Below are 25,408 nucleotides of genomic sequence, written 5' to 3'. Positions count from 1 at the left end.
GATTTGTCGAACACTTTACACTTGACTAACAATGAGCCATTCATTAAATCCTCACAACTCTGTCAAACAATATTAACCCCATTTCACAGATGTGAAGACCTGGGCTCATGGATAAGTAAGTGGTAGAGCTGGAATGAAAGCTCAGGGTCTCTGCTCATAAGCTCACCTGTCTTTTCCCTAGGTTACCTGCTCCCTATCACCTGCCCCATGCCCTCTGCTGCTGTGTGCTTTTCATGCCTGTTGGACTAAGAGCACCAACCTGATGCCCAGGGACTGAGTTATGGAGGGCTCAGCACAAGGCTATGGCTTCTAATAATGCTCCTCATTGTTAATGGCACTCATTTCATTCTCTGCCAAACACTACAAAGCTATGGAGTACCCCAGGAGAGCATATTCTGAGCATGTAAGCTGGGAGCAGAGGTGCGAGGGCAATGATGATAGGGAGCTTTTCATGCCTTTGTTTCTAAGCAAGCCACCTAAAAGCATCCACGGCACTGCATGGAACAGCAAAACTTGCTTAAAAGCCATTTTCATTTTTAAACAATGGAAAGAACCAATCTCCCTCCACCCTCTCTGTCCCCACCTCTTCAGCTTTGACTATGAAAACTTGGGCCAGCACTGGCTAATAAAGGGGATCGATAACCATCCAGCTATTTTCACAGCAGCCCTCATATTAATGAGAAGCTGCTCTGGATGAGGCTCTATAAAAGGGACTAAGCGGATGGCATTCCACCACAATAAATTGCCTCGGGGTTGCTAATCATTAACAGAGTGTTCTAGGGTTGTGATCAATTCAGGGCCTCATTTGTCCCCACCTGCAGCCACACTGTCCAGGGGAGTGAATGGTTGGTTTTCCTGAGAAGGTTAAAAATACATAAAAGATGCACAAATACAGAAACAAAATAATCCCTACCTCAGGGAGATGGCTTGGAAAGTTCCCTAAACTCATTTCCTAGGCTTAGAAACATGGGAGACCTTCTGGTTACTGTAACGGGGCATTCTCCTTTAGAAAGAGCATAACTGTGAATTTCCCCTTTCTAACCTTCTCCAAGCTGGAATATCTCTTTCCTGTTTGGGTTTAGAATATCTGATGGGTACATCCTGCAAACACCATACTATACAATGGTCCCATAAAGCTTATCTCTGATCAGAGAGAGGGTAGATAAAATGAGAAATTGGTTCCCATTGCCCCTGAAGCTACTTAAAATGGTCTCTGCTGACCTTATCAGCCTCTCTGCAACCCAGTCTCTCAAGATGGCTTCCTAGTTTGTTGAATGAACGGTGCTGTCTCTTAAAATCGAGCCTATGCATATATTTTCTATCAGCTTCTCCCCATCTTTGTTTGCAGAATTAACTCCTTTATTTTTCTTGTATCAACTTAAACATCACTTTTTCTAGGAAACTGCCCTCACTACCCATAGTTGACTAAAACCACCTTTTATGTCAAGATGGCCCTTGAACTTCTGTAACACTCTCATACCTATCGTTGCTTATTCAGTATCTTTTTTTTCCAGAACATAACATCCATGAAGACAGGGACCATTTGTGCCTTATTCACTACTCTACTCATAGAGTTTAGTTCACAGAGGAAAAGTTAAATGGAGAAAGAATAGTTGAACGGATGCATAAAAGAGTGAATGAATACACGCATGCATAAATTAATGAATGAATAATAACAACTGGGGGTAGGAAATTATCCACTTTCTCATGCCATAATTCCTCCACCTCTGTACTCATTTAGTCTTTCATAATATGTTCCTTAGTACCAGCTTAGAGACCCAAGTCTTTGCAACATTACACCTGATATGTGTCCAACCTGAGATTTTACTCCTTTGTAGCCTCATTAAGTGATGCAATTATAACCTGTCCATTTTCACACTGAGGTTCTAAGGTCCATCTCCCTCCAGAAGCCAATGTTCACAAGGAATGGGGTCCCCAAAGTAAGTTTTATGATTTTTCAATAGAAGAGTTAAAATGCCAACATTTGATATTAACATTCTATTAATTTACCCCTTTTTAATTACTCATGGTGGCAGGGGGAGTAGAAACATAGGCAATACATTTTTATTTAGCCTTAAAATGTAGAAAGAAGCAATAAAACCACCAGACTTATCTGTGCACTTTTATGCGTCTGTCCTCCTGCTGAGTTTGGCCTTCTATTTGGTGATAAAGCCCTTTGCAAAAGGGAGAGCCCCTCAGAGGAGATTCCAAAGCTAGTGTTCCTTTCATTACTGCCCCTGGGAAATGACCCAAGGTTATACCAGACCTTTGAGTTACAGGAAATCAAAGCTCTTGGCTGGTACCCAGCTGAGACAGAAATACAGAATCCAGGTTGTGCACCACTAAGGGAGGCCAAACGACTTGGTGGTGAGTGAGTCTAAATGCCAGCAGTCCTTCCAAACAGATAAAACCTCCCAGTAGCCCAACAAAGCAGCCTCTCCAACCCTCCCTTTGCCTAGAGGGACCCAGGACCGCTAGTGGTGCATGCAGTACCTTTGGCAACGAGTACTTAGGCAGCTTTATCTGAGCAAAGGCCTCTCTTCGATAAGACACGTAGTAGCTGGCTCTTCCACTAGTTGTTACCTAGATTGTGGGGGAAACACAAAGAGATCAGATGAGGCCACAGATCATGCACAAGTTGGAAAGTATTAGCTCTTCTATCAACAACCACAATGGGTTTGTAATTACCTTTTAGAGAATATTCCTTGCTGGCTTTGGGTCTCTAATCCCATGGCACTCTGAGTTGCTCCCACTGCACAGTGCTTAGATCACAGGTGGGCAATTACAACAATCTTTCCCACTGGCAGATTCTCCCTCAGAACAGAGACTGACTCTATTTGGTCACTGTGCTCTGCACATGGCACATACCTAGTAAGTATTTTCAACTAAAAACAGAGAAGCTACCAATGTGGGCTACACCCATGATCTATTTATTCTTTTTGAATTGTTTATTAATTCATTCCAACCATAACATAATTGTCAAATGTATTTTTCCTGGATCTGAATAATTACTATTGTTCAAAGCTCTCATTATTTTGAAATGTAATCTCACTTCTGATCTAAGCACAGATTTCTTTCCTTCATATTTACAAATCCATGTATTGAGCAGATATTTATTGACTCTTTCCACGTACAAGATACTTAAAAACATCAAAAGTTAGAGGAAGAACTCCAAATTTGAAATTCAGAAGTCCTGGGTTTGAGTCTGAACTCTGTTATCTCTGGCTAGAAGGCTCAGGGACAAGCCCTGTAACCTCACTTGTGAAAGGATAGATTCTTAATGGGAGGAAAGTGGAAACCACGCCAAGAAATGGTCCTCTGGCCAGGGCCTGCTGAAAAGCCCTGCCAACATGGCACGGCTCTGCAGATGGCTGCTCTCTGCCCAATTATCCTAACTCAGGGGAAATTAATATTCACAGGAGAAGATAACATGGCTTGTTCAGAGAAAATAGCAGGACAACAATAGCAACCAGGCTGCTGCGCTGAGGAGGCAATTACCCAAGGCACATGCTTCATTCTCACTAAGGTCCAAGCACAGGCTGGAGACAGGCCAGTCCTCCCAGTCTGATCCAAATCTGACAGCCATCCACAGGCCCTACTGGGAGCAGAAGAGCTGTAACTTCTCTACTGAAGCCACCCATCTCTCCTCACTCGGGGAGGGAGATGACATCTCCCACGGCTACCCCTTGCTCTGCACAGATCGGAAGCCCACAAAGCAGGCACCACACGCTGCCAGGTAGAGCAGATGTCAGAGTCAGCATGAAGGCAGAGACTTGGAAAAACTTGGTGCAAAGGCTTATGCTGTGAACCAAGAAGAGAGACTGGTTTTCACCCTGATCTTCAGGGAGAAACATCCACATCTAATTACCATCATTCTTGCCTTGTATTTCAGGACTTTAAAACTTTTTTATTTTGATACAACATCTGTTCTGAATCTATATTGTTGTGTGTTGGCTTAGAGGTGGGTGTTGCTATATTAAGATCAATAGGTTGCTCTGAAGTCTTTTTCCTTTTCCAAATAAGTCTCAAGTGCATAAAATATCATCCTTAGATCTGAACACATAGTCACCATTAGTTCTCACATGATTGTATGTATTTGTTTAATTTGGTTTTACATTTAATTAGAAAACCAACACATGTAAACATACTTGCTAACCCAGAAACTAGATCAATAGTTTTTAAACTTCAGCATGCATCAGAATCACCTGGAAAGCTTGTGAAAACACAGATTACTAAGGCCCATCTGCAGAGTCTCTGATTCAATAGATCTGAGTTGGGGATCAAGAATTTTCTAATAAATTTCCAGGTGATGCCAATGCTGCTGGTCTGGGAACCACACTTTGAACACCTCATAACTAGACTTTTAACAACAATTTGCATAGACCTCTGTGCTCCTCACCTGCCCTGACCCCCTGCCTCTCAGATGTAGATATGTTCCTGAATTCTGTGTTTACAATGATGAGAAAGGTGGGGTTTTTTTTTTAATTTGAGGTGAAATTCACATACTCTAATAATTTTAAACTGTACAATTCGGTGTCTTTTAGTACATTCACAGTGTGTGATCCAGCCAGACCCTCTATTTAGTTCTAAAACATTTTCATCACCCCCAAAGGAGTCCTTATACCTGATGACAAAGCTTTTATACTCCCAAAATATATCATCTGGTCACCTATCATATGCTTAATAACCACCTCTCTATAGGTCACCCTGAACCTTACCCTGAACCAAACACATTCATGGGAAAGCAGACCAGCATCCGAGAAGGCAAGTCCCATTCCTGAATGCTGGCCAGAGATCATCAATTAAAAGGGGCTTCTCCTTGGAAGATCCAGCTGCCTCAACAGGGAACAAAATGATAGCACACTCCACCTCCTATCAGAAGTCCAGGGCAAGGCTGGGAGCATTGGGGTTTCCAAGTCACCAACGGCCAAAAGAGAATAGAGTGGTCCCTTTGACAGCGTGATCAGCCCCGCAGCCTTGAGAACTCATCCTCCCATGTCTATTAGAGCCCTGCACAATCACAGACTCTCTTAAAAGCTCACACACAACCCAGGAAAGTTTGTGCTTGAGTAAATAATGAAGATAGAAATTATACTTTAAATGTTTAAATGCATTGTCGAATGGTCCAAAACATAAAGGGGCTATATGAAGGCCACAGAGCCCTGGGGTCTCCAAGTACCTCTGATACTGTAGTATCTCCCAGAGATACCAAGCTTCATCCTGCCAATCTCCCTTTGTCCTGAGTGTGTCCTTCTCCGTACTTGCCAAAATCCAACTGATGCATTAAACCTCAGTGTAAATCCTATGAGTTCATGGAAGGGTTTTTGAATGCTACCAATTCATTCTAATTTCTCCTATCTCTCAATTACTGAACTTTGTTCTTTTCATTTCTATAGCACTTTCAACATTCACTCTCATGGCACACACATTCCTATAATTATTCTTCTATAGTTTATTACAAGGTTGTGACCTACTTCATTCCTAGACAATGCTGGTTCTGTGGTTTGAATGTTTGTGTCCCTTCCAAAATGAACGTTGAAAATTACTCCTCAATGCAACAGTATTAAGAGGTGGGGCCTTGAGGACATGACTGGGACATGAGGACTATGCCATCATGAAGGGATCAGTGCTTTATAAGAGGGCTAGAGAAAATTAGCTAACCCTCTTTTTTCCCTTTCATCACTTCTGCCATGTGAGGACACAGTGTTCAAGGCACCATCTTAGAAACAAAGACCAAGCCCTCATCAGACATCAAACCTGCAGGGGTCTTTGTCATGGACTTCCCAGCCTCTACAGATGTAAGAAATAAACTATGTCGTCTAAATAATTTTGCTATAGTAGCAGAAATGGTCTGAGACAGAAATTGGTACTGAATTGGTATTGGTATTGCTATAACAAATACCTAAAAATATGACAGTGGTTTTGGAACCAGGTAATGAATAGGTGTATGAACAGTTTTGAAGTGAATACTAGAAAAAAAACCCTATATTGCATTAAACAGCGCATTAAGGGCAATTCTGGTGAGGACCCTTCTTCAGAAGAAGTGGGGAGCTGTAGAAAGAACTTAAGTATCCTTAGAAATTACTTACCTGGTCATGAACAGAATACTTGTAGAAATATAGACGGTAAAGGTAATGCTGTTGAAGTCTTAGATGGAAATGAGGAGTAAGGTATTGGAAATTAGAGGAAAGGTCATCCTTGCTATAAAGCGGCAAAAAACTTGGCTTAATCGTGCCTGTGTCTAAAGATTTGTAGAAGGCAGAAATTGTAAGCGGTGTACAAGGATATCTGGAAGAACTATCAATGCAAATGTGGAGAGTGCTGCATGGCTTTTTTTGACCATTTATAGTAAAACGCAAGAAGAGAGACATGAATTAAAGGCAGCTTACAATTGAAAGGGAAACAGAACTTAAAGATTTGGAAAATTCTCAGCCTGGCCATGTAAAGTTTAAAAAGGCAAGTTTGAGAGAGAACACCAAGGGTGTGGCCAAGGGACCATTGATAAAATTAGTACAGCTAGAAGGCAGCCAGATGCTACTCACCAGATCAATGAAACAATGGCCCAGAAGGCATACCAGAGATCTTCCAGGCTGCCATGCTCATCACAGGCCCAGAGTGCCAGGGCCTTGAGGGGAAAACAATTTGAAGGGAGGAGCCAGGCTCCCATGGAATGTTGGGGCTGTCTGTCCAGTACTACCTCAAGTCTCTGATCGCCACATTCTGGTGCAGCTGCATGGACTCTAATCTGTCACAGCTACTACATGTGCTATACCTACCCAAAACCATGGGTGCAGGGTCCCCTAGAGCCTTGGAGACCCAATCCTCACCCCATGGCCTGGAAGGTGGGACATGGAGTGAAGAAAATTATTCTTAAGCCTCAAGATTTAAGGTTGTTTACCCTGTTGGGTTTTGGACTTCACCGAGACTTGTTACTCATTCCTTCCTTCCTTTTGCTTGCTTTTGAAATTGGAATGACTGTCCCATACCTCTCCCACCATTGTATTTCAGAGGCACATAACTTGTTTGATTTCACAGGCTTGCAGCTGGAGGGGAATCTGCCTCAGGATGAATCTCCTTGAGTCTCACCCGCATCTTATTAAGATGATACGCAGATGAGACTTTGGACCTAGATTTTAAAGTTGATGCTGGAACAAATTAACACATTTGAAGCTATTGGGATGAAACGAACATATTTTGCATGTGAGAAGGACATAAATTTGTGGGGCCATGGATGGAATGCTATGGGCCGATTGTTTCTGTCCTCTCCTAAATTCCTGTTGAAACTTAATCCCCATTGCAACAGTATTAAGAGTTGGGGCCGTTCAAGAGGTGATTAGGCCATGAGGGCTTCTTCCTCAGGAAAGGAAAAGTGCTTCATAAAAGGGCTGGAGAAAACTAGCTAGGCTTCTTTTTTTTTTTTTTTTCCTTTTTGTCCCTTCTATCCTTCTGCCATGTAAAGACTCAGTATTCAAGGCATTATCTTGGAAGCAGACACCGGGCCTTCACTAGATATCTAACATGCTGGTGCCTTAATCTTGGGCTTTCCAGCCTTTAGAACTGTGAAAAATAAATTTCCATGGTTTATAAGCAGAAAGGGACTGAGAGAGCTGATCTTCTGGCAGATGACCAGCGGATACATAATAATAAAAATAATAAGACAGTCATTAATTGAGTACATCTACCACACTCCAGAACTGCACATAGCCTTTATGAAAATTACCTAATTTAATCCTCATAACAACTCTACAGAGGTTTTGAGTGACTTGTCCAAGATAAGACAGATCTGAACCTCAGAAAGTTTGGCTCTAAGCCTGTGCTCCTCCTTCTGTGACTAAGAAGAATCCTCTGTCCATCTTTCTTATTTCACTGCAATAACACAATAGATTATCTTGATTCCAACATCTTTTGTGAAAAACTTTTTAAAAATCTCTGTAATTGACATGCATGTCTATGGTTTTGTTTCCTTGCATTCCCGGAAAATCTGTTTTGACACTCGGGCTGTATTTTTAAATTTTCTTTTGTGAGACAGGGTCTCACTCTGTCACCCAGGCTAGAGTGCAGTGGTACAATCATGGTTCACTGAAGCCTTGACCTGCCCAGCTCAAGCAATCCTCCTACCTCAGCCTCCCAAGTAGCTGGGACTACAGGCAAAACCACCATACCTGACTAATTTTATTTTTTTATGTTTTGTAGAGACTGGGTCTCCCTCTGTTGCCCAGGCTGGTCTCAAAGTGACCAAAGCCACTCCTGGGCTCAAGCAGCCTTCTGCCTCAGCCTCCCAAAGTGCTGGAATTGTAGATATGAGCCACTGCATCTAGTCTGGTGCTATATTTTGAAAATAATATCTTCTTAGGAGAGCAGAAGTAAGGTAATAAAACTAAGAGTAATAATAACTATCATGTAAAGAATATTTCATACAGGTCAGAAAACTGAAGCTGAGAGAGAGCAACTAATTTGCCCAACATCATATAGCCTTTCATTGTTACAGCCAGAATATAAACCTGGGCTTTCTAACCCTCGCCTACATCTGAACCCTTATAAACCTGGGCTCTCCAACTCTAGTCTGTACCTGAAACCTTAACCAGGAGTGAGCACACCTCATAGAGGCAGGTACACAGCAGGGGGTCAATATTTATTCACTTACTGAATAACAGATTGTTGGAATTAATCTGCTTAAGCAGAAAGACTTTGAGTTTGGATTCCTCCATTGGATACTGACTAAAACACAGATGTAGTGAAGAACTCTCAACTCCTGCCTGGTTCCTGGATGGTCAAAGGAATTTATTTTCAAATACATCACACACCCCTTCAGGGGCAGAGTCCTCACAAAAGCAGGAATTTATTTTCCAAAGATCGCACAGCCCTTCAGGGGCAGAGTCCTCACAAAAGCAGGCTGATGCATTTGCTGCTTCACAATGTTAGGGTAAAAGCAGGCTGATGCATGCATTTTCTGCTTCTCTGTGATCCTGTGGCTCTCTGGCACACAAGAAAGAAATAAAGTTTAGTGACTATTAATCTGTTTTGATGAACTTTTCTCTTCTTTACTAGCAAACTTGCTGGCATTGTAAATCCCAAAGATTATTACCACTTTTCCTTTCGGTGACACCTTTTATTTTATATTTGATGAATGTCATCCAATTATTTGCTCTGGGCCCATCCGTCATGCTAAACACAGAATTAGCTGGGTCTTTTCCTTACTAATGACTGGTTCGTTAATCTGATTTTCTGGATTTCCATTTTACAGGTTTAATTGGGCTCCTGGCCAGTGAAAATGATTCCTTTGGACAAATGCATTGGCCATTAAACACATCTATCTCTTCTGACTTGTTCCCGCTCTTGCTGTGACCAAGCCTAACCTGACAGATCCTTTATTTTTTCATTTATCCTTGTTTCTGGATGATGGCTTGCCCTGGAGGAAAGACAGAAATCTGCCCCCAAAAATTAGAACCAAAGGGCCTTGAGTCATTTCCTAGCTCCCGTTGGGGATTTAGAAGTTGAGCCTATTTCTGTCACAGGAGAAAACTTAAACTGTTTCTAGAATTTATAAGTAGACATAGGTAATCTTAGAAGAGAGTCAGAAGCAAATATTTTTGAGTTTATATTCTATATTGGGTGCTTTACTTTCATGATATTATTTAATATCCACAACAATAATTATTATTACTATCATTATTGTTAATAGCATTACCAGTACCATACATGGTAAAGATATTAATAATATTTTTGAGCATTTATTATATGCCAACCATTCCTGTGTACACGTTAGCCTTCTATTTTATGTACAGGTGGGGAAACAGGTGTAGGAAAATCATATAACATACTCAAAGATACACAACAAATAAATGGTGGAGCTGGAATTTGAACCCAAGTTTATCTGACTTTTAAAGGTTTTGCTGGTCCCTCAGGCTATGTGAAATTTCCAAACCTCTATGTGGAGGGGAATGGGTCCCATGTCACTTCATTTCCAATTCCCAGAAAATATGTTCACTGATATAGTTTGGATGTGTGTCCACACCCAAATATCAGATTGAAGTATAATCCCCAATGTTGGAGGTGGGGCCTGGTGGGAGGTGATTGGATCATGGGGGCAGATGTCTCATGAATGGTTTAGTACCATTTCCCTTGGTACTGTCCGTGCGATAGTGAGTTCTCGTGATATCTGGTTGTTTAAAAGTGTGTAGCACCTCCCCTCTCTTCTCTTGCTTCTCCTCTGGCCATATTATGTGTCTGCTCCTCCTTTACCTTCCGCCGTAATTGTAAGTTTCCTGAGGTCTCCCTAGAAGCCAAGCATCATGCTTCCCATACAGCCTGCAAAACCATGAACGAATCAAACCTCTTTTCTTTATAAATTCCCCAGTCTCAGGTATTTATAACAATGCAAGAACAGACTAATGCACCCACGGCCAAGGCAGATGTTTCTATGTGAGGGTTCCTATCAATTTCCAAGTTCTGAGAAATCAATGCTACATTGTCGCACAGAAGTGCTTGGTGTTGCTATGGGAATTTGTGAATACGAACCATAATTGGGCTTACACGAGAGCTGTCGTATTAATAAGAAATGACATGTGGAAGCTTTTCCAGTTAGAGGATTGTGCTGTATCGAATATTATGTGAATAATCTGTCTAAGCCAAGAGAAATGACCACCTCTAAGGGTACATCTTAGTTACTTCTCACACTGCCTCTGCAGTGTTTCCTCCTCTTTAAAGAAACAAAAGGATCAGCCAAGATGTTACGATGCACAATTGACTTTTCTAATTCCTTTGCTCATTAATTCAGTTCATATTATTTATAATAAATCTTGACTTTTTGGGGCTTTTCTCTCTCTACTTCCATAATTCCTTCAAAGATCATATTTATCTTAAGAACAAAATAAAACAAAACAGGCTTCCAAATATTGGACCATAGGAGTCTATAAACAGCTACAAGTTTCATCAGGAAGTTGCTATACATGTCAGTCTGGCCCTAGAGTCTTATGCGTGGATGAATTAGTTGCTTCTGCCATCTTGAGCTGATTTTCCAACACTGCTTTCCTAGGGACCACACTATGAGTCAGAATAAAAAGTGTGGTACAGCATTTGGAACAACATGGCATCCTATCAGCATGTCATCTCCTCTGTTAGACTGTTTGACTTTGAATTTAGTGTTTGTCTAACTGGTGTTTGCTCATTTTATGTCCTTGAGGCTCTGCAATATTGATGCAGTTTTATCTGCCTAGAAAGACTGGGTCTATTACCCAACATCATACTATGGCTGAGCCTCCTTTGAAACAGATTTGCACATAAAATCTTTTATTGGTGCCCTAACATAATAGCCCCCAAATAGTTTCACCAAGAATAGACATGAGATAATAAGATAGTTGACACTGAAGCCAATATTGCTCTGGGTGTGTGTGTGTAGGGGAGATGCTGAAAGGAAGATGCATGCTGAGGTTGTCAGCACACTCACTGGTCAATAAATACTGACAGCACAACTGCCACTTTCAGCAGCCCTGCCGAGCAACTTCTTGTACCCTTCACTGCCTTTTGTTAATGCTAGTATGGCAGAGAAAGGGGGTGGGTTAGGAAGCATGGGACAAAGAGTTTGGGTCTAGACCACACACAAGACTAGAAGAAGAATTAGCATGCCTGACCCTCTGACACTGTTCCTTCAAATACAATAAAGGGTCTGGACTCAATCAGTTTCCAATTGCATAGTAAGTAACAGAGCACATTATTTGGGATCTCAGACCTGTGTTTAAATCCCGCTCATACCACTTTCTGGTTTGGTGACCTTGTACAAGTAATTTAACCTGCCTAATTTTCTCTCATGGAAAACAGATATTAGTACTATCAACTGAGAAGTTATCATGAGGATCAAATATAATTCAATATAGAAAGAGCTTTAGCCTTGCATCTGGCACATAGCACGTACTCAATGCATATTATCTGAGCCAGCAGAACTGGAGGCAAAAATGCCTGCACCAGTCTAACATCTTAGAGGTCTTCTGGAGACTGACTATGGTGGCAGTTTATGTATGCAACCTGGAGGCTTCAAGAGGTGCTGGGGTAGCCATGTGTGCCACCTGATCCCAGTTGATCAGGGATAAAGGATAGAAATTCTCCTTGCCCTCAGCCAAGATGAATTCCTAGAGGAAACCACAGATAGAGATCTCCAAGAGACTTGACCATTAATGGCTTCGAGACTTATCTTTGTGTTCTGGCTTTCATGATTTAGATGGAGGGGAAGAAGTTCTTAGGATGCTCACCTGAGCTTTCAAAATGGAAGTCCTTTGCACTTTCTCTTTCCTATTTGTGTGTGTGTGTGTGTGTGTGTGTGTATTTGAGTGGGTAAAAAAGCAAAGATAAGGGCAGAAATACAAAAGGACAGATACGAACTTGAATTATCATTATCATCCTAGTGTCCAAAATTCAGGAGCATTTGAAGACTCCCAAATAATGTAATAAGAGCTAATACTTTCAGTGTTATAGATAAGGACGCCAGAGCTTCAGGTGAAAGAAAAGGAAGGCACTGCCCATGAAACCTCTAAAGAGAAATGTTCAAACTTGCTATCAAAACATTGCCCCCTCTCTGTGCTCAAAAATGGTTCTGTTCCTTGTGGACTGTGGATTGGTAGGGTTTTGTAAAAAAAAAAAAAAAAAAAAAAAAAAGAGAAAGAAAGAAAGAAAAGAGAAAGAAAATGGAGCTGAGAGGAGGTTAAAGAAGATATTGCAAGAGATCTAGCTTATATGGTTGTCCAATACTTGTATAAGTTTTTCATTCAACTTGATACATCAAATGGCCTAATTCCTTTTTATGGGTGGACACTATGAGGTCAATTATTTAAATGAAATATACTCAAACTAGGTACTAGCCTCTTTCTTTTCTATAGTATCCCAGTACTTCAGAAAATAAAATCAAAATGGTGAGAGAGGAGAAGGGAAAAGGTGGAAGGTCCTGTTCCTTCACATTGTAACATCTGTGATTTTATTTTCAGCTCCATCATTTATTAGATGTGCAATTTTAGGCATTGTAACCCATCTCTTGCAGTTTGGGGGTTATTTTCAGATAAAAAAGGAACTAGTTGTAGTTATCTTTCTCTCACAAGATTCTTGTGAATAAACAACATAATAAAATGCTTTCATGTAACCAGAAAATGCTCTACAAACACAATGATTAGATTGTTATAATAGACCTATGGTATGTTCCCAGGAACACAAGCTTTTAGAAGTGTATTCACTGACAAATTATGCTGTTGATCCATAAATTCCCATCCTAATGATTGCGTGGGGCACTGAAATTTGCCGATGTAGCTTCAACTATGCACAGAAGGAAGGGCTAGAGGCAATACATAATATGAGAAGGAGAAGCAGAAAATGATGGCCACAGCTATAGAACAGAAACATCTTCAGCCACAGGGGATGAATGACAGGTGAATATAGCTGCTTAGAGAATAATTAATTTTATTGACATGTTCAAAATACATTAAATATCCTGAAAGGGCAAGGCAAACAAAATCATTCATTTTCTAGAGAATTAGGGACGCTTCTTTGGGGCATGGGATTTCTGGAAGGCTTGGAGATACACGTGAGCTGCTAGATACAACAGCAAAGTTTCACCAACATGGGATTTGCATGTCTCATGAGTGAATTTTGGGACAACAGTAGACGGATTTAAGCCATCTGTCAAGCTGTTTCTCAGAAAACACTGCTGCCTCCCCAAGAGCCATGAATATTTGTGAAATGCCAACTGCTACTTCTTGGAGCTTCCCCATCATGCTCTCCGGGTCATGCCTCTCCTGTCCTCTGCCAGCACAAGCAACATTGTTGGAGGGCCAGGCTCTATGCTTACCATGTAATATGCACTGCCTGCTCTTGCACACAATGACCCCATGAAGGAAATACCAAGAAACCTGCTTTACTGATAATTTAACTGACATGCATCGGGTATTCAGCTCCATGGTGGCAGAGCCTGGATTTGAACTTGTGTCTCTAAACCCTGACAATGACCACTACATGGTGCAGCCCTGAATGAGCCTAAAGTGTCTACGCCAGAGCCTTTCCAAAGAATGGCTAGTATAGGAGAAGTTATTTGAGGGACTTAGCCTGACCCAGATCACTTCAGCATCAGTGAATTTCACAGTGGCTCGTGTCAAAAGCTTTCTCCTTAACTAAGCTCCCCTAACCCCAATTTCCCAGTTGGAGTTCATCTTTTCTTCCTCTGATTCCCAGGGCTCTTTTTTTGTGGCTTGCTTGTTGCACTTACCAGCTGTTGTTCCAAATTAGAGGGAAGCAGGTCCTTTTGGGGTCTCTTGCTGTACTGTAATATCTTTGAGGGTAGATAATGTTCTTACTCATCTATAATAGTCTCTTAGTACCTAGTACTCAGGTCATAACAACTAATATTTGTTGAGTACTCTGTGCTATTAGTTTTCATTATTGTACTGAATCTCATTTGATCTGAGCACAACCCTGCAGGTGAGGTCTAATTACACCTTCATTTTAAAATTAAGGAGCCTGAGGCCTAGGAAGGCTGCTTGAGGTCATCTTGGTACTAAAAGGTAAGACTTAAAGCCAAGCTCAAAGCTTCTGACTTGCAACTCCAGGCTCTTTTCACTTTGCTAGGCTTCTAAAATCTGTGTTTCCAGAGTCAGAATAAGTAAAATACAAAGAAAAGACAATTGCATGAACTTTTACAAATGGGTAGTAATTTTACATCAAATACTCCTTTGCGTGGTTGACAACACCATGCCTTCGAAAATCAGGGGCTATAAAAGAGCTTGCTTTCCTGCAGGAAACAGGGAAGCAGAGTACAAGATGTTCTTCCCCACCCACTGCTGAATCCACGTAATAATTAAGGGTCTGGCCAAATTTAGATCATTCCTTGAACGTTAATCATGTTTAAAAATCTCATTATGGATACCGGCCACCATTCCACTATGTCTTACATTTGTCAATCAGCGAGTACTGGTTCAGTACCTTTGTGACCAGACTGTATTAAGTACCATGGGTCATGGAGCTGTCACCTCATGGAGTTCACCATCTCTTTGGGAAAGCAAACAACATACAAGATGTACAAATGACAATATAAGGCCAGTAATAATGCCATGGTACTCAGCACAGTGAAGATAAGATGCTACAAAAATCCTTTCCTCAGAAGCACAACAATTTACTCAGTGTGTTCTCATGCTCCTTCTACAATTACAATAAAATCCACCCTCATCCTATCTCCATTTTGTAGATGGACAACTAAGACACAAGGGGACAACTAAGTAAGGGACAACTAAGACAGCAAAGTCACACAGCTAGCAGAGGGCTGAACTGAAATTTAAACTCATGTTTGCCAGATTCCAGATACTGCAGGCATAACGATTCTCTTAGACCACCCTCCACAATGTGACATTCATACACACATGCACATATGTGTGCACATACCCACAGTGTTGTATGTAATCTATAAATAAGTGTGACTTATACTCCCACTGCCTTAAGAGTAGAGTAGGTTCTAAACACTGAAGGACATTTTATCTGCTGGATGTGATGATGGATTTGAGTTTGGAAGATTTGAGAAACCAGGACCTGGCTGAATTGTTCTACATAACAAATGGAGAGTCAGAGAGAAAAGGTAGGGAGGGAACTTGAAGGAAGAAAAGATTACCAGTCAAGCCGGAGAGGTTGCAGGGCAGAAGTGCCAAGGTGAGTTGTTGGTACCAGGAGAGGTAGTTTTGGGGGAATGGAAAGAAATAGTGAGTGTGTGTAGACTTTTGTTTGTTTGCTGTGTGTTACATGACACAAACACTCTACTTCATTTCTATTTGACATATTTAACAAAAAGTATATGACACTGCTCAATACTCTTATTAGTATAATTTTATTTATTGGTTTATCTTTGCAGAGGCAGTTCATAGCAGGAATGAAGTTTTGCTTGAAGAAAATGCCCAAGAGTTATAGCTGAGCTACCAGAAATTTTATTTTTATGCATCTTTTAAGTTATTTATTTTGTCCTTCGTTGTGAAAACTAACAAGGAACACAGCAACCAAGCCTAGACTTGGATTCCAACCCCCACCCTCACCTATTGGTTATGATATGTCTTTGGGACAATCATTTAAGTGCTTCTGGACCTTGAAACATACAGCCACACTCACGATGTGAGGTCCAACATCTGCTGACACAAAGTAGGGACTCAGAAACGTCACATCGCTTGAGGTCCACAACCACTCACTTCCTTGGTCCTGGTTTCCTAAGCCGAAGGTCTTCTTCAAGCAGTATCTTCAGATTCTAAGCTGCCTGTTTTGTGTGTGTGTGTGTGTGTGTGTGTGTGTGGATATTCAGTGATGCAACATGCATGTTTTAAGCAGCTACTTTGTGTTAAAGCTCTATGTACTTACTCATTGTCCCTTACACAGTTCCTGACCCAACTTGCCTCCAGCAAATAAGAAAGTGTAGGTTGTTCTGAATATTTCTTGTTTAAGGAGGAGAATCATGCAGTGACAGAGAAAGAAGGCTCTGGTGCCAAAATGGTTACATCAAAATCTCCACTCCATTGTTTACTGGCTGTGTCGTCTTGGGAAAATGGCTTAACCTTTCAGTGCCTCTTCTGTGAAACAGAAGAGTTGTACTTACCACATAAGCTGTAATAACAATTAAATTCACTAATTCATAAGCCTAGCTCATGCTGACCACTTAATTCGTGTCAGTTGTTACTACTAATGTAATTGAATCTCTAAGAATTACAGGTTATTCAATAATAAAGAAAATTAGCCAGGAGGTAAAAACCAGGGAAGAAGGTTTAGGACAAATCTTTAAAAATAACTATAGTGAGAATGAGAGTGTTTCTTGTACAGGATAGCTACATTCAATCAACTTCACAAGTACTTGTGGCAGATATGTCAGAGGAAGTAAGGAAGCCATCTCTTCCACCCCTTCCTGACCCCGTCCGTAGACAAAGAACACCTAAGAAGAAACTATGTAGCACAATGAAATAATGAATACAATCATATTAAGAGCACTTTGATCATTTCTTCCTGATGCAATCTAGAAACAGTCGCTACCTGGGCAGGCAGTAAAACTGAAAGCGTTTATTCCAGAGAATCAGACAGAAGGCCTTGGGTACAGCCGACTTTCTGTTCTAATTGCATTCCGTGGAATTACCCCTGCACATTATTACAAGGTGTACGTCTCTTCCGAGAACATTTTTCTCAGAAGAAACAGGAAGCAATCTTGCCTGGCCTCGAGAGGTTACAAGGCTAGAGGGAGAGGTGGGAAGTGGCTAATTTCATGTTCCCATCAAACACAAGCTGGATTATAAGAAAACAAGAGAAGAGAAGGAGGAAAGCATGGAGATTAAAGAATCAGACAATTTTAAAGCCCAAGAAATGCAGAGAGGGAAAAGCTGATCTTTTTAATGTATTTTTTTGTAACAGATGTTTGCTTGCAGTTCCAAATCTAATAGCAGTTGGTATAGTAAAGATGAAATAGTAGAAGGAAGAAAAAGAAAAGCTAAAAAGAGAGAAAGGGAGTCAGGCTGGCAAACAAGAAGCTAATTCCAATGCCCTTCCTTCTTCCCTGCTTCACCAGGCTCTGTCTGTTGGGTGCAGGCCGTATGCCCTGCCACATTGCCTTCCTGACAGTTCTAGGTTCTTGCTCACAGCAGCCCCCTGTCTGTAAGCATTCCACCCCAGGAAAGTAGGGGTAATCGGGCCCATCCTTTAAACATCTTCATTATATCACTTTCATAATCAGCTTATAATGTTCTTTTCAATAGACATGGAGCTGACCAGACCAAGTGCTTGTACAGCAGCTTGGGCTGTGGAGCTATTCTCTGTGCCATTGATCACAAAGACAAAAATCAATCCTGGCTAAGGAGAAAGAAGTTAAAAATAAATTGCAGGGATTGATTTCTATCCAGACCTTCTGACTCCCAGTTTAGAAAGGGGGAAGGAAGAGTATGCATGGATCCGCCAGTCATGAGATCGCTTAATAGGACCTAGTCTCAAAAGCAAAATCTAGGGATATTTTATATACTCACACACATAATTGTCTTTTATGTTTTTATATTCTTTTATTTTTGTTTCCTAATAACTATAAAAGATGAAAATCCATCTAAATTGCAAGCTCCCAGGAGAAAAATACTAGTGTTTGCCTTGATCTCCAAAATCTCCAAAATGAGGCCCCTTGCTTTCTGGATAGCAGTAGCTCAAGAAATATTTGTTGGGAGACTGACAGAATAAGTGAATAAATGAAGTGCCCTCCCTCCTATTATTGTCTCTCACAATTATGTTTATTTCTTCATAGATTTATCATAGTGGGTAATTACCATTCTTATTTATTGGTTTGCTTATGTAGTATCTCTCCCTCTCTCGACTATAAACCCTGTTATGGCAGGAACTGTGGTTTTCTTATTTACATATTTATTTCTTATATATAGCATAATCTCCAGGGAACATAACTTTCTTATTTACTTTTTGGATTTTTATTTCTTTTTTACTGCATTATCTCCATATTATACCCCAAGTAGATGTAAATGGAATGAAGAAAGGAAGGAAAGATTCAGCAACTTGCTTGAGGAATTAAGTACATCCCAAGTATCTTTTTTGTTTGATACTGACATTGGAAAAATGAACTGAGGCAATACCTCTGAACAGCAATCCCTTTCCTATGTCTGACTAAATGGAGCGATCTGTAGAGCAAGACAACTTGTGGAGTTTTAGGGTTAGAAGAGAACTTCTGGTGTCATACAGTCCGCTGCTTTGAAACTTTCTATGCTGTTCTAAGTTCTGCAAAGATGACTTGGGGTGTCCCCAAAGGGATGAAGAGTCTGGGTGGGTGGTGAAGCTCATACGGCCCCTCACCCTCTTTAATATAGATCTCTTCTAACTGTATCTATTTTATATATTGGAATGTCTTCAACAGTTTTGCCTGGAAGGCAGTTCTCCAAGAACAACAACAGAAGATTTGGAAGCCCTTCTTTAATGTAATCTTTTCATTTTGCCACAAGGAAACTGAGCTTCAGGGAGGAAAGGTGATGGCCCAAGATCACCCAATGAGTTAATGATGAGGCCAGACTTAAACCCAGGAACGCCAACTCCCTTCACCTGCACATCCATCCAACTGCACTGTCTCCTTCCAAGAGTCACTTCCCCTTGGGGCACTGAATGGTCCTCAAGCTGAGCCCCTCAAGTAAATTAGCTGCTATGAAAACTACCATGATCCTTGCCTCCTCCAGGATATCTTCTTTAATTGTAGATCTCCCTCACGCTGGGAAGCACTGTCCTGGAGAGTCTAGCAATTTCTTAAATGCTTTTGAGCATTGTTTATGAACAGTGTCTGGTCAAACAGCTTTATCTCCTCACCAAGACAAGGCAAAATGAGGACTGACACGTTCTCCGTCTTGTGACTATCACATGCCCTTCATTTAGAACAGTATCAGGAGCATATTAAGTGCTCAATACAAGATTATTAAATGAATGGATGAATGAATGAATCAGTCAGTCAATCAATACCTCTGTCACAGAGAGAACCAGTCACAGTACTGGGTACATAGTAGATCCTCAATCACATCAAGCTGATTGGTTAACATCTGTCTCTGCTGCTCTGAAACTCCAAGAAGTCCTTATTCTGTCTGACCATGAGGGGGTTTCAGAATTCTTAAAGGATTCTGATTCAGATTATTAAAGGCTGCTTGCAGAAATTCAAAATGATTATTTACTCCATTAGCTGGTCATAGAGTTATAGGCAGAGTGATTAAAATTTTTTAAAGCTGAAACTCTGAAATCATAGAGATATACTCTAATTAGAGCGGTAATGGGAAGAGAACTGGACTAAATCATCTACTTTTCAGTCAACAGCCCAACTTCCCTCATTATCAGCACTGCTGTTTTTACAGCAGTGTAATTATCTTTAATAGGAGAAGGACCCAGAAAAGGAATTCTCCAGGGAGCTGGGCTTAGCAGAGGGGGTGTGGAAGACTTGCTGGCATGTGGAAGGGAAGGAAAATGGGGAGACTCAGTGAGGTCATGACTCAACAGCTCCTCTGAGTCCTGGAATGGAACCCAAAGGCAGCCCCTCCTCCCACTCCAAATGCATAATGCATGGCAAGACGTACACAGGGAGGAGGAAAGGGCTGGAGAAGAGCAGAGCTGTGGATGTCATGATGATTCTCCACGCTGCCACCCAGTCCCCACGGGAAGTCCCAGGGATGGGTGTTTGAGTAAATCCCCCAAGTATATCTGAGGGACAGCTCTCAGAGGCTCAGGCATGAATACATTGTATTGAATCCCATTAAGCCTTTCTTTGGTTAATGATGCAGAAAGTTTCTGATATGAAACAAAATTGAAACAGATCCTGAGAAAGAGTCCACTGAATAGGGAATGGAGCAAGTCTTTGCAGCCACTAACATCTACCAAGATGGGGGCAACATCTGCTTATTTCACTTTCACAGTCATCTAGAAAAGTATCTGGGAATACCAATTATTAGGTGCTAATGCAGAGAAAAACGAAATGAGAAATCAATCATTGTCCTCTTGTGTCATCCTTTATAAACCCAGACAGCCCTGAGGTCATATCCTTGACCTTGCCATTTCCTGAGCTATACAACCATGGGTGATTACCTATATTTCACTGAAACTTGGTTTCCTCCATAGAAAAATAAAGATAATATCTGTCATATTGAGATCCTGTGAAGATTAAAGTTTTATTAAATAAAATAAAATGCACACATGCTGGACATAAATTTGATGTGAAATAATTGCAAGGTCCGTTTTCCACTATAACAACAATTCTTTCTGTTTGTTGATTGGTGAGTAAAATTGGTGGTGAAGCTAGGTAGAAAGAACACTCCAAATAACCATTGCTTTGGAGGTAGGAAATTGATTTCCAAATAGTGAAAGAGATTGAGAGTGTATAGCTGATCTCACTCCTTTGAGCTGATGATAGAAACTCTTGTAGTCTCCTGGATAACACATCTGCCTTCCTGACCAGAACTCACAGGCTGGCTCCCTCCATATAAGCATCCTGAATAATTAAACACCATGAGTGCCACCCTTCTTGCAAAATGAACTGCACAGCACGCTTACCACCACCCTTACTTCTCATGCCCATGGAGACGCTAATAGTAATAGAAGCTTTTCTACCAAACCACAATAACACAGCCTTCTATGGAGCTACTACCAATAACTCAGGGGTGATACATAAAATGAAAACAATTTAATACTCCTGTGCTAGACATGACCCATTCATATTTTATTATAAAGGCAAATAGTTACTTTATAATATGTAGCAAATTACAGAACCGTTCTCTGAGATTAAAGGAAAATATTCTTTGCCAAATTGACCTAGCAAGCAACAGGTATTGTAACTTCCATGGAGCCTCATTAGATCTCTTGGGAAGAAACAAGTCTTAGTAATTTATAAGGGGCATGCACAGTAGAGTTCTGAATGGAGCAAGGAGATTGCCATGCTTAAGGGATTGATGGGCATCCTGTAAAGAACGACCCCTTGCTAGAGCCTCCCAGTCTCTGCATTATGCTGAGAGGAGCAGGGAACATTGGGGTCATTGGCATTTGCATAGTAACTGACACTGTAAAAGGGGATGGGATGGACTTACTCAAAGAGAAAGTGTATTAGTCTGTTCTCACACTGCTATGAGGAAATACCCAAGACTGGGTAATTAAACTTCTTAAGAAAGGAGAAAAGGGGTTTAATTGACTCACAGTTCTACATGGCTGGAAAGGCCTCAGGAAACTTACAATCACAGCAGAAGGTGAAGGGGAGGAACAGCACCTTCTTCACAGGGCGGCTGGAAGGAGAAGTGCTAAGTAAAGGAGGAAAAGCCTCTATAAAACCATCAGATCTTGTGAGAACTCACTCTCACAAGAACAGTATGAGGGCAACCGCCCCCATGATTCAATTACCTCCCACCAGGTCTCCACCATAACACATGCGGATTATGGAAACTATAATTCAAGATGAAATTTGGATGAAGACACAGTCAAACCACATCATTCTGCCCCTGGCCCCTCCCAAATCTCATGTCCTCACATTTCAAAACACAATAATGCCTTTCCAAAAGTTCCCCAAAGTTTTAGCTCATTCCAGAATTAACCCAGAAGTCCAAGTCCAAAGTCTCATCTGAGACAAGGCAAGTCCCTTCTACCTATAAGCCTGTAAAATCATCTAAAACAAGTTAGTTACTTCCTAGATACAATGGGGGTATAGGCATTGGGTAAATACACCCATTCCAAATGGGAGAAATTGGCCAGAACAAAGGCACCACAGGCCCCATGCAAGTCCGAAATCCAATAGGGCAGCCATTAAACCTTAAAGTTCCAAAATGATCTCCTTTGACTCCATGTCTCACATGCAGATCATGTTGATGCAGGAGGTGGGCTCCCATGGCCTTGGGTAGCTCTGCCCCTGTGGCTTTGCAGGGTATGGCCCCGTTCCAACTGTTTTCACAGGCAGGCATTGAGTGTCTGTGACTTTTCCAGGCACACAGTGCAAGTTGTTGGTAGATCTATCATTCTGAGGTCTGGAGGATGGTGGCCCTCTTCTCAGTGCTCCACTAGGCAGTGCCCCAGTAGGGACTCTATGTGGAGGCTCGCACCCCACATTTCCCTTCCTCACTATCCTAGCAGAGGTTCTCTATGAGGGCTTCACTCCTGCAGCACAACTCTGCCTGGACATCCAGGCATTTCCCAACATCCTCTGAAATCTAAGTGAACATCCCCAAACCTCAATTCTTGACTTCTGTGCACCTATAGAGCCAGCATCTCACGTTAGCCACCAAGGCTTGAGACTTGCACCCTCTGAAGCAACAGCCTGAGCTGTACATTGGTCCCTTTCAGCCATGGCTGGAGAGGCTGGGATGCGGGGTACCAAGTTTCCAGGCTGCACACAGCAGGGGGACCCTAGGCCCAGCCCATGAAAACAATTTTTCCTCCTAGACCTCGGGACTGTGATGAGAGGGGCTTCTGTGATGACCTCTGATGTGCCCTGGAGACATTTTCCCCATTGTCTTGATGATTAACATTTGGCTCATTACTTATGCAAATTTATGCAGCTGGCTTGAATTTCTTCCCAGAAAATGAACTTTTCTCTTCTCTCACATCATCAGACTGCATATTTTCCAGACTTTTATGATCTGCTTTCTCTTGAACGTTTTGCCTCTTAGAAGTTCCTTCCACCAGATACCCTAAATCATCTCTCTCAAATTCAAAGTTCCACAGATCTCCAGGGCAAGGGCAAAAACCCACAAGTCTCTTTGCTAAAGCATAACAAGAGTGACCTTTACTCCAGTTCCCAAGAAGCTTCTCATCTCCATCGGACACCACCTCAGCCTGGACTTCCTTGTCCATATCACTATCAGCAATTTGGTCAAAGCCATTCCACAAGTCTCTAGGAAGCTCAAAACTTTTCCACGTCTTCTTTCTTCTTCTGAGCCTGCCAAACTGTTCCAACCTCTGCCTGTTACCCAGTTCCAAAATAACTTCCAAATTTTGGGGTATCTTTATAGCAGCACCCCACTCTCTGTAGTACCAATTTACTATATTAGTCTGTTCTCACACTGCTATAAAGAACTGCCCATGACTGGATAATTTATAAAGAAAAGAGGTTTAATTGACTCACAATTCCACTTTGGAAGGGCTGGGAAGGCCTCAGGAAACTTACAATCATGACAGAAGGAGAAGGGGAAGAAAGGCACCTTCTTCACAGCGGGGGCAGGAAGAAGTGCTGAGCAAAGGGGGAAAAAGCCCCTTAAAAAACCATCAGATCTCATGAGAGCTCACTCACTTTTACGAGAACAGCATGGGGATAACCGCCCCCATAATTCAATTACCTCCCACTGGGTCCCTCCCACGACACACTGGGGATTATGAGAACTATAATTCAAGATGAGATTTGGCTGGGGACACAGCCAAACCATATCAGAGAGGGTAGGAAGTAAACAGAGAAAAGGAACCTAGAAAGAACACTGAGGAAAAACCCATATTTAAAGAGTGGGCAGAGGAAGAGGCATCTGTGTTGGAAAGTAAGATGATATTGGAAAGATGGAGAGATGAGAGGGGACCCTGAACTGTACCTTATTGAGGAAGCAACGAGAATGCTTCAAGAAAGAAGGAGCAGTCAAGAGGTTCAAATTCTCTAGACAATTCAACTATGTTAATTATTGAGAGGCATAGTCTAGATATACTTCAAAGATACCTTTGATGAACTTGGCAAAAGCAATTTCAATGCAGTGGCAGAGGCAGAAGTCAGTCTCAAGTGAGTTACAGAGACAGGGAAATGAGAAGATGGGATTATGAATACAGCTAGTGCTCAAAAAATTTGATTGTGAATGAAACATGGGAGACTTACAGAGGGGTGTAGGTTCAAAGAAAGTTTTACCCTACTTTGTTTTGTTATGTCAGGATGGTGGATATTTTAAAAATATTTAAATATTGATGGAAAGTCTAACATAGGGATGAGTAAGCTAAAGACAGGGGAAAGGAGAGTGATCAGTAGTGCCAGGTCCTTGAGAAGAGGGATGGAAATGGATGTTTAGATTGAGGAATCTCATTTATATGGGGATGAGAACAATGCCTTCTACTTCACTTAAATAGTTCACTCTACCTACAATAACTGGATACATAGCAGGGATCCAAGAAATATTTGAGAGTCATTCAAGATTGCCTTGCATTAAGTTACCCCCAAAAGTAAAGCCTGAGTCAAGGACTTTTATGTAGTTTATCGTTTTTGTTTGTTGAGGAATGATCTGGGGACAGGAGTGGTGAAACTAGGAAGCAGGAAACAGGGAGGGAGAGAAGGCCATTCCAGGGTGCATTACTAAACTGGTTATTATTGTCAGCAATTAGGGCTCAATCCCACTAGACAGCCTATGAAAATTCATGTAGAATGAGGCTCAGACTTGCCTACCTGACATAAGAGAAGAGTACTGATCCATTAGTTTTGTTTTTTTTTTTAACTTTTATTTTAGGTTCAGGGTACATGCACAGGTTTGTTATATAGGCATATTGTATGTCATGGGTATTTGGTGTACAGATTATTTTGTCACCCAGGTAATAAGTATAGTACCTAATAGATAGTTTTCTGCTCCTCTTCCTCCTCCCACCCTCCACTTTTAAGTAGGCCTCGGGGTCTACCATTCCCTTCTTTGTGTCCATATGTACTCAAAGTTTAACTCCCACTTACAAGTGAGAACGTGAGGTATATGGTTTTCTATTTCCGTGTTAGTTTGCTTAGGATAATGGCCTCCAGCTCCATCCATGTTGCTGCAAAGGACATAATCTTGTTCTTTTTTATGGCTGCATAGTATTCCACTGTGTATATGTGCCATTTTTTTTTAATCTAGTCTACCATTGATGGGCATTTAGGTTGATTCCATGTCTTTACTACTGTGAACAAAGCTGTGATGAACACATGTGTGCATGTGTC

General features: G+C 41.4%; 1 protein-coding gene across 2 annotated transcripts in view; it reads right to left on the bottom strand.

Moving 5' to 3' along the window:
- SORCS3 (sortilin related VPS10 domain containing receptor 3) overlaps nucleotides 1–25,408 on the bottom strand; it is a 623,953-nt gene that overhangs the window by 123,263 nt on the left and 475,282 nt on the right. For both annotated transcript variants that reach the window (NM_014978.3, XM_011539542.2), the window contains one exon: nucleotides 2,494–2,583. In NM_014978.3, the coding sequence (NP_055793.1) occupies nucleotides 2,494–2,583 (90 nt within the window). The remainder of the gene's footprint in view (nucleotides 1–2,493; nucleotides 2,584–25,408) is intronic.

Source organism: Homo sapiens, chromosome 10 (genome assembly GCF_000001405.40).
Source record: "Homo sapiens chromosome 10, GRCh38.p14 Primary Assembly".
Taxonomy (NCBI): Eukaryota; Metazoa; Chordata; class Mammalia; order Primates; family Hominidae; genus Homo; species Homo sapiens.
This window is presented reverse-complemented; position numbering and strand designations above follow the sequence as displayed.